The sequence below is a fragment of the Homo sapiens genome, chromosome 22, assembly GCF_000001405.40.
Source record: "Homo sapiens chromosome 22, GRCh38.p14 Primary Assembly".
Classification (NCBI taxonomy): Eukaryota; Metazoa; Chordata; class Mammalia; order Primates; family Hominidae; genus Homo; species Homo sapiens.
In genome coordinates, this window is record NC_000022.11 from 43,911,822 (window position 1) to 43,922,251 (window position 10,430).

The following is a 10,430-nucleotide window of genomic DNA, read 5'->3' on the forward strand; positions in this document are numbered from 1 at the left end:
CAGCTTCTGCTCCTTTCCCTCTTCCCCTTCACAGGAAACAGAGCCAAGGCCACTGACAGTCCCTATTCTCTGCTTGAACCATCCCTAACTGGTATTTGTCCCAACCTGAGGTTGTGTAGTCTGTATTGCCAAAGCCAGTGGGCATTTACCTGTCCTTGCTGCTCTCTCAAGGCTTCCATGCATCCACTGGCTGTGTTCTCTCCCTGCTTCCTGGCACCTCCTCCCCTTGCAGACCTCCCCGTGGATGTTGCCCCAAGACTCTGTCTTCTCTGCTTCTTTCTCCCACGCTTTCCAGTCTCCTGGCTTTAAATATCATCTCTACCCAAGATCCTCAAATTGCTCCTCTGGTTTCTCTGAGCTCCAGACCTGGACATCGACTATCTGCCTGACCGCTGCACCTGGCTGTCTAAGAGGCGTCTCCAGCTCGGTGTAGCCAAGCAGAACATTAAGTGACTCTCCAAATCTACTGTTCTTGAGCCTTCTCTATCACCATTGTCCTTGCATCTTCTCTTCCCTCACATCATCCCCGGTCCACCAAGAAGCTCCGTTTTCTCTACCTCCAAAGTAAGTCTCTGATACAGTTTGGACATTGTGCCCTCTAAATCTGATGTTGAATTGTAACTACCAGTGTTGGAGGTGGGGACTGGTGGGAAGTGGTTTGATCATGGGGGCAGTTCCCTCATGGGTTGGTGCTGCCCTCGAGATAGTGATTTCTCTTGGGATCTGGTTGTTTAAAGTGTGTGGGATTGTCAGAGGCCTTTGAACCAGAGCATCTCCTCCCTGGACAGGGGCTAGGTAAAATAAGGCTGAAACCTCCTGGGCTGCATTCCCAGATGGTTAAGGCATTCTAAGTCACAGCATGAGACAGGAGGTCAGCACAAGATACAGGTCATAAGCACCTTGCTAATAAAGTATGTTGCAGTAAAGATGCTGGCTAAAACCCACCAAAACCAGGATGGCCATGACAGTCACCTCTGGTTGTCCTCACTGCTACACTCCCACCAGCACCATGACAGTTTACAAATGCCATTGCAACATCAGGAAGTTATCCTATATGGTCTAAAAAAGGGGGGCATGAATAATCCACCCCTTGTTTAGCATATCATCAAGAAATAACCATAAAAATGGGCAACCAGCAGCCCTCGGGGCTGCTCTGTCTATGGAGTAGCCATTCTTTCATTCCTTTACTTTCCTAATAAACTTGCTTTCACTTTATGAACTCACCCTGAATTTCTTTCTTCTTCCTCCACTACTTCTTCTTCTTCTTCTTCTTCTTCTTCTTCTTCTTCTTCTTCTTCTTCTTCTTCTTCTTCCTCTTCCTCTTCTTCTTCTTCCTTCTTCTTCCTTCTTCTTCTTCTTCTTCTTCTTCTTCTTCTTCTTCTTCTTCTTCTTCTTCTTCTTCTTCTTCCTTCTTCTTCCTTCTTCTTCCTTCTTCTTCTTCTTTCTTCTTCTTTCTTCTTCTTCTTTCTTCTTCTTTCTCCTTCTTTCTTCTTTCTTCTTCTTCTGATGGAGTCTTGCTCTGTTGCCCAGGCTGGAGTGCAGTGGCGTGATCTCGGCTCACTGCCAGCTCTGCCTCCTGGGTTCACGCCATTCTCCTGCCTCAGCCTCCCAAGTAGCTGGGATTACAGGCTCGTGCCACCAGGCCAAGCCAATTTTTGTATTTTCAGTAGAGATGGGGTTTCTCCATGTTGGCCAGGCTGGTCTCCAACTCCTGACCTCAGGTGATCCACCTGCCTCAGTCTCCCAAAGTGCTAGGATTATAGGTGTGAGCCACCATGCCCGGCCAAGTCTCAGATATTTCTTTATGGGCTTGCAAATGGCCTAACAGAGGCTCAACTCCATCCACTTCTCTCCATCTCCAGCTCTGCCCCACTAGTCCAAGCTGCCACCTCTCTGGGCTCCTGCAGTACCCATTATGTGGTCCTCCTGCTACCAGTTCCACCTCCCCAGAGCCCCTTCTTCACAAGCCACAAGCCCAGCTTCTTCACTTATTCCCATGAGCAATGCAGTGGAACCTTGCAAAATTCTCTGGAGAACTATTTTGTTCATTTGTTGTCTTTTATTTTTTTTCCACAATCCCTATTTTTTTTTTAAGATGGAGTCTCTCTCTGTCGCCAGGCTGGAGTGCAGTGGTGCAATCTCGGCTCACTGCAACCTCCGACTCCCTGATTCAAGCAATTCTCCTGCCTCAGCTTCCCGAGTAGCTGGGACTATAGGCGCCTGCCACCACGCCCAGCTAATTTTTGTATTTTTAGTAGAGACGGGGTTTCACCATGTTGACCAGGATGGTCTCAATCTCCTGACCTCGTGATCCATGCGCCTCAGCCTCCCAAAGTGCTGGGATGACAGGCGTGAGCCACCGCGCCTGGCCTGGAAAGGGTATCATTTTAGTATTCACTCGTTCATTCATCACCTGTTGAGAGCTACTGTGGACTAGGTTCAGGGCTAGAAGTTGATGACTCTGTACCGAGCAAGACAGACATGGTCTTCACTCTCTTGTAGCTTACAGTCAGGCAGACAGTCAGCCGGAGAAAGCAATTTCTCATGTATTTTATCTGAGTCCAATGAATGCGTGCCTTGAAAGAAAAGTTCAGGGGCCAAAAGAGCTTTAATTGTAACTGGGCCAGCAGGGTGTCTTCCCTGAGGAAATGGCAATTTGATGACAACCTGAGGCCCCGGGAAGTTACAGAACCCAGAAATTGGGGAACCTGGGTCTCAGGGGCAGACCAGGCTTAGAGGCTTCGAAGGCCTTTGAACTTTACCTTGAGAGGAAAGAGGAGCTAGGGAGGGACAATATTCGCCTTGCATCGTAATCAATTAAGCAGGGGCCAGGTTGGAGGTGGGCAAGCTTGAGGCAAGGAAACTCATTAAGAGGTTACTGTAGTAACCTGCAAGAAATGACACCTGCCAGGGACAGTGGCCTTGCAGCAGGGGAACACATGTCTCTGGGCTTACGTAGGATTTTCCAAGGGGTGCACAGGCACAGCTAATGTTAAGGGAGTCGTTTCCTGAGTTCTTTCCTAAAACCATCCTCCTGAGACCCTGCCTCTGTAGAAGACCCAAGGTCTGTTTTCTTTCTCCCCCTCCCTCAGCATTGTCCCTTTTCTCCACTACTCACAAGAAAAGCCTTGCCAGGGGAATGTGGGGCTGGGATGGGCTAGGGAAGTGGCCATTTAGGTGCAAAACAAAAGGACGATGGAGGCACCAGGGTTGTGTTGGACTCTGTTGCCTGAATAACAAATCCTTTTGCAACTTAAGGGACTTCTAATGCTTCACCTTCCACAAAGCTGAATGAGACCCTAAATAAGTTTGCAGCTGATAAATCATTAAAAATCTGGCCATTTGAGTATCACTTGAGCCCAGGAGTTCAAGACCAGCCTGGGCAACATGGCAAGATCCTGTCTCTACAAAATATTTAAAAAGTAGTCAGGGATGGTGGCACACACCTGTGGTCCCAGCTACTTGGGATGCTGGGGTAGGAGGATCACTTGAGCCCAGGAGGTTGAGGTTGACATGAACTGAGATAGCAGTGCTGCAGTCCAGTCTGGGCAACAGAGTGAGATCTTGTCTAAATAAATAAATAAATCATAATCATAATAATTTTTCTAGACAGATTTCTATGTCATTTTTGGATAAATGAGTGACCCTGCTATGACAAACTCTCATTCCCACTCTTTTATTTATGTGGGTGGCTTCTTAGCATTTGCCTTATAAAAATTAAGTTATAAGCATGAACCCGGGAGGCGGAGCTTGCAGTGAGCCGAGATTGCGCCACTGCATTCCAGCCTGGGCAACAGAGCTAGACTCCAGAGTCTCTGAGTCATGGAAAACTTATAGTAAATAAACTGGTATGTTTTTATCTTGTGAATCTAAATTTCATCAGTCCAAACTACAGGGCCCCAGCCAAGGAACCTAAGATGGTGCTATTGTTTGAATGGTTTTAGTCCCTCCAAAACTCATGTGGAAACTCAATCCCCAATGCAATGGTATTGGGAGGTGGGGCCTAATGGGGGTGTTTAGGTCTTGAGGGTGGAGCCTCAAGGATGGATTAGTGTTGCTATAAAAAGAGGTCGAGGGAGTGGTTTGCTCACTTTCAATCTTCCACTGTGTGAGGACACAGCGTTCCTCCCACTCCCCCTTCCCCCTTCCATCTTCTGCAGTGTGAGGACACAGCAAGTGGGCCCTCACCAGACACCAGATGCTGGTGCCTTGATCCGTGTGAGGACACAGCAAGAGGGCCCTCACCAGACACCAGATGCTGGCGCCTTGATCCGTGTGAGGGCACAGCAAGAGGGCCCTCACCAGACACCAGATTCTGGTGCCTTGATCCATGTGAGGGCGCAGCAAGAGGGCCCTCACCAGACACCAGATGCTGGCGCCTTGATCCGTGTGAGGGCGCAGCAAGAAGGCCCTCACCAGACACCAGATGCTAGTGCCTTGATCCTGGACTTTCCAGCATCCAGACTGTGAGAAATATATTTTTGTTCTTTACAAATTATGCAATTCTTTATAAATTATAGCAGCACAAAATGGAAAAAGACAGATGGCTAGAAGAAAATTATCTTTTTCCTCCCCCCACCATTTTTTTTTTTTTTTTGAGATGGAGTCTCACTCTGTAGCCCAGGCTGGAATGCAGTGGCGCGATCTCGGCTCACTGCAACCTCTGCCTCCCAGGTTCAAGTGATCCTCCTGCCTCAACCTCCCAAGTAGCTAGGATTACAGGTGTGTGCCACCATATCTGTCTAATTTTTGTGTTTGTAGTAGAGATGGGGTTTCACCTTCTTGGCCAGACTGGTCTCAAACTCCTGACCTCAAGTGATTCACCCACTTGGGCCTCCCAAAGTGCTGGGATTACAGGCATGAGCCACCACACCCTGCCAATGAAAGTTTTTTATATTTATTTATTTAATTTTTTTGAGATGGAGTCTCACTCTGTCACCCAGGCTGGAGTGCAGTGGCATAATCTCAGCTCACTGCAACCTCTGCCTCCTGAGTTCAAGCCATTCTCCTGTCTCAGCCTCCCCAGTAGCTGGGACTGCAGGCGCACGCCACGATGCCCAGCTAATTCTTGTATTTTTAGTAGAGAATGGGTTTCACCATGTTGGCCAGGCTGGTTTCAAACTCCTGACCTCAAGCAATCCACCCACCTTGACTTCTCAAAGTGCTGGGATGATAGGCATGAGCCACTGCGCCTGGCCTGCTCCCCTATAATATTGATTTTAAAATGCATAAGGGAATACAGTGTTTTTTTCCAGAGTTTTTGGGGGTCCAGGAGCAAAATTCCTGGAGGCCCGATCCAGATGAGGATAGCAGCAGAGGAGGTGGAGAGAAGCAAATGTTTGGAGGGTCTTTAGGAGGGTGGTCACCAGGGCCTGAAGGCAGGCTGGATGTTGGGTGGGAGAGAATGAGGTGGACCAAACAGGGTGCTTAGGTTACTGGCTTAAGGACATGGGGAGGGGTCACTGAGATGGGGAAAATGGGAGAGTTGAAGGTTGGAGAAAGAAAGTGATGCTCTTCTAGCTGGGTGTGGTGGTCTGTAATCTCAGCTCTCTGGGAGGCCAAGGAGGCAGGCAGATCAGGAGTTTGAGACCAGCCTGGTCAACACAGTGAAACCCCATCTCTACAAAAAATACAAAAACTAGCCAGGTGTGGTGGTGCACGCCTGTAATCCCAGCTACTTGCGAGGCTGAGACAGGAGAATTGCTTGAACCCGGTGGGGCAGAGGTTGCATTGAGCCGAGATCGTACCACTGCACTCCAGCCTGGGCGACAGAACAAGATTCCTTCTCAAAAAAAAAAAAAAAAAAAAGGAAATTGATGGTCTCCCTCTCCCCTCTCAGTCATCCACATGCCCAGCACTACTGGGCTTCAGCGGGTGTCAGAGAGACTTCCAGCTTCCTGCCGTGTTTGGCCCTGTGGTCAGCTGCCCTGCTGACCCTGTTTCCTTGGCTCCATGATCCACTCTGCTCAGGAGATATCCAGAGGAACTTACAGCCCCAACATGGCCCCTGTAGGGCCTTTCCCCCTGTGAAGACTTGCTGGTCCCATGGAGGCTATCTCCACAGCCTCCTGCCTTGTCCCTCTTCCCCCAAACCCATCTCTCCACTCTGGTGAACTCACAGACCCAAGACTTCTGAGCAAAGCTGCTAAAGTGGGGATAGGGAGGCTCCACATATTCCAGAAAAAGGAGGGGTAAGTTGTCAGGGGGGTTGTAAAATACTGAGTTTGGTTCGGATGTGTTAACCTGGTCGTGGCCACAGCACATCCAGGAAGACAGCCAGGGGCAGCAGGCTCTATTAAACAGTGGGAAGGGCTCAGCAGAAGTGCTTGGCAGGCACAGCCACTGTGGCTGCTAAACCCGGCTCTGTGGCCATAGATGCTCTGGACCTAGAGATGGCCCTCGTCACATGATGGGCAGAAGGCATGGAGCCCAGGCCTTGGCCAGCACTGACTCCATCACCCGGGCTAGCTAAAGGACAACGTCTGTGTGGAGTATCCTGAGGGGGGATGAAAAAGGCAGTGCCTACTGGGGACCATGCTGCCTGGGCAGAGGAGAACCCATCATCATTGACAGACAGGAGGATGCTGGGCCCCAGCAATGTGGCCTCTGGCGTGTGTCAGGGAGTGTCCATCTGACTTCACCATGACCGGTAAATAAGCCCTTCGGGTCACCCAAGACTCTACACTTTCCCAGCACTGCTAATGTGAGCAATTCTCTTCCCCCAGAACCAGGACAGTTGGAGGGAAGGTGTGTAAGACAGGGAACTCCCTGGGTTTTATTCTGGGGACAGAGCCAACCTGAGAAGCATCCCAGCCAGAAGGACTAGTGCTGATGGGTGGGGACCTGAGGCCTGGATGGAGCTGGAGGGGAGTTTGTTCACAAATGCGAGAAGGAACCACATGAATGGATAGACCCAACAGGGTCCATACATACAGCGGAATATTATTCAGCCCTAAAAAGGAAGGAAATTCTGACCCCTGCTACAACATGGGTGAACCTCGAGGACATGATGCTCCGTGAAATAAGCCAGACACAAAAGGACAAATACTGTATGATTCCACTCACAGGGAGCCCCTAGAGTAGTCAGATTCATAGAGACAGGATGGTGGTTTCCAGGGGCTGGGGGAAGGGGCATGGGGAGTTAGTGTTTAACGGGGGTTGTTGCAGTTTGGAAAGATAAGAAAGTTGCAGGGATGGATGCTGGTGATGTTTGCACATGACGTGAATGTACTTAATGCAACTGAACTATACGTTTAAAATGGTTAAAATGGCAAATTTTATGTCATGTATATTTTACCAGAACTTTAAAAGGAAAAAAGAGAGCACTGCAACCAGAGCCAGGACACTGGGCCAAGGATGGAGGCGCAGAGGTGAGGCAAGGCTGGCACTGGGCCCATCAGTGTTCCCTACCTGTTGCTGCCAGCGTGGGTTGGGAAATGTCGGGCCAGGTGTGTGGACGTGGAAGGTCCAGATGCAGCCTGGGGCACTGGGAGGAGGACAGCAGCAGGCAAAGGGCTGCTCTCACGTATGTTCTGTCCCCCACCCTGAATCTGGTTCCTATCCCGTTTTTGCCCATGGCTGGAATTAGCCAGTTCTCTCATTGACAGAAATGTCTCTGTGAACAGATCAAGGTGTCTGGCAGGTTGGCAGAGAAGCTGAGACCTCCCACAGAGTCAGTCCTCATGGTGCTGGGTTTGGTAACTGGGTGAGGGATGCCAGCTTTCATTTTCCCAGTGGTGTAGGGAGAAGAGGTCAGGCTGACACTGTCTGGACGCAGTGTGCCCACACAGAGCTGGCATGGTCAGGGGTGGCAACGATCTGTATTTCCAGCTTTAGAGAGGAAATAGACACTGGAGTTCGAGCACCTCCTTGCTCCCCTTCGTGAATGTTGGGGTGACGTACCATCAATTCTTGTGATTCATGGTGGTTACATTTATAAAGTCTCCACATACACTGGATCAGCCAAGACTGAGTCATTGCTCCTAGGGGACGGATGGGGTTAGGTTCCATCCAGGCTCTGGGCACATTTTTGACAAATGATCGATACATAACCTTGTTTTATGTGTGTTCCTGGTTAAAGACACCGTAATCGATAACTTGTTTTTTTTTTTTGTTTTGAGACAGAGTGTAACTCTGTCGCCCAGGCTGGAGTACAATGGTGGGATCTCTGCTCACTGCAAACTCCACTTCCCGGGTTCAAGTGGTTCTCTCACCCCAGCCTCCCAAGTAGCTGGGATTACGGGCATCATGCCCAGCCATTTTTTGTTATTTTGTAGAGATGGGGTTTCACCATGTTGGCCAGGCTGGTCTCGAACTCCTGGCCTCAGGTGATCCACCCACCTTGGCCTCCCAAAACGCTGGAATTCCAGGCGTGAGCCACTCCGCCCAGCGGATAACCTGTATATTGTTGATTCATTAACCTTGAACCCACAGCAAACAGCACTAGAACTCATGCCTAAGGAGCTTCTCTAATGCATGGACTTTTTGTTTTTATCTGAGACAGGGTCTCCCAAAGTCTGATATTGAAAAGTGGTCCTGGACAGGCGAGGTGGCTCACGCCTGTAATCCTATCACTTTGGGAGGCTGAGGCGGGCAGATCACCTGAGGTCAGGGGTTCGAGACCAGCCTGGCCAACGTGGTGAAACCCCATCTCTACTAAAAATACAAAATTAGCCAGACATGGTGGCACATGCCTGTAATCCCAGCTACTGGGGAGGCTGAGGCAGGAGAATCACTTGAACCCAAGAGATGGGGGTTGCAGTGAGCTGAGATCGCACCACTGTACTCCAGCCTGGGTGACAGTGAGACTCCATCTAAAAAAAAAAAAAAAAGGAAAGTGGTCCTTAGCGTTCACTTATAGACGTTGCCAATCAGTCCCACATCATATCACAAGTACTGGGAACTGAAATTTGAAGACCGCAAGGAAATGAACATTTACGACTCCTGGAAAATAGCACTTCCTTATGCAAGCATCCATGCCATCTGATGATGTTTTGACACATGAATTCACTTTTCCTCCTTCCCAAGTGCCTCAGCCACCAGTCCTCTCCATTCTTCCAAGTAGTGTCTGTGTCTGATGTGAGCAGGGCACAGCCACAACTCTTTGTACCATGGGCAAGGCAGTAACTTCTCTTTTGAGAGAATTGTTCAAGAGATACAAAGAAGTCTCCCTGGGGCCTGAACACTGAGTTCAAGATAAGAAATGTTTATAACTCTGTGCTGGCAGCCAAGAGCTGGATCCCAGTTGCAGATGGGGCTATGCGTAGCAGTGAGAGTGGGAGACACAGAGACAGGGACTGAGAGAGAGAGAGAGAGAGATGGGATCAGGGATAAGGGCAGTACTGCCAGGCACTGGGCTGGGTGCTTTCTGTTCATCACATTTAACTTCACAATGCCCCTCACACAACTGTTTTCTCCCCCATGGTACAGATATAAAAAGTGAAGCTCTGAGAGATGAAATGATGCTTGCGAGTCTTGTGCACTGGCTGTCTGATGCCAAAGCTTGCAGTCTCAACCATGATATCATGTGCCTGTCCCACTGGAGGCTGGATGGGGGGCTGAGAGAGCTGGACCATGAAACCCTTGCCCAGCTGGGTCCTCTCTTTGTCTCTGGAAAGTGGGGAGGGCCCCCAGCTGCTGTCTACATGCAGTGACGAAGAGGGGGTGAGTCCTCAGCCCTGCTCCTGTCCTGCCCACATCTGGGTCACACTGGGGATGACAGATGTCCAGTGTGGCTGGCCAAGAATGAATGCCGGTGGACAGGAAGAGAATATGAATGCCTGTGGCTGGTGGCAGGGTGACTCATCTCGGGCCTTCGGTCACAGCCTCAAATTCCTGTGCCAGAGCCTGGCCCTCCTGTCATTAGTCCTAAGACTGGTCATGCAATGCAGGAGGGATGGATGGGTACAGGAGGCTAGAGGTTCTGACCCCAGCTGTCCCCTCCAGAAGCCTCAGTTCCGCCGCAGCCCTGAGCGTGAGGTGGGGGTGGAGGGCAGTTAGGGCAGGACTGTAGGTAATGCCCCTCTCCAGCAAAGCCAACACGTCAGGAATAGATGGGACCCCCTGTCTGCTTCTCAGCTCTCCTGACCTTCCCCGGGACTTAGGACCTGACCCTGCCTTGCTCTGGGCCTCCATCTACAAAGTGTCTATGTGATGAGGCAGTCAGCCCAGGTATTCACTAAGGCCTGAAGCTCCCATGCCCTGGGATTCCTGCCCAGAGAAAGGAGGCAGCCCTGCTCCCAGCTCCCCTACCCCTCCAGGCAAGGCAAAAGCAAGGACTGCAGCAGAATGGGGAAGCTCAGTTGAACATGAACCACCCAACCAATCCAGGTGCTTCTCAGGTGACATTTGGAATCCTGACAGCAATGTCACCTGTTTTACAACACCACCAGTCATTCTGCAGTTGAGGACACTGAGCCACAAAGAGGGCA

The 10,430-nt window shown here is 50.2% G+C and overlaps 1 annotated feature.

Annotated features, from left to right (window-relative positions):
* Window positions 9,882-10,382: an enhancer, noted in NCBI's record as "H3K4me1 hESC enhancer chr22:44317583-44318083 (GRCh37/hg19 assembly coordinates)". NCBI's record gives its function as "activates a minimal SCP1, AML or CMV promoter by ChIP-STARR-seq in naive H9 embryonic stem cells {active_cell/tissue: H9 hESC(naive)}" and the evidence as "EXISTENCE:reporter gene assay evidence [ECO:0000049][PMID:30033119]".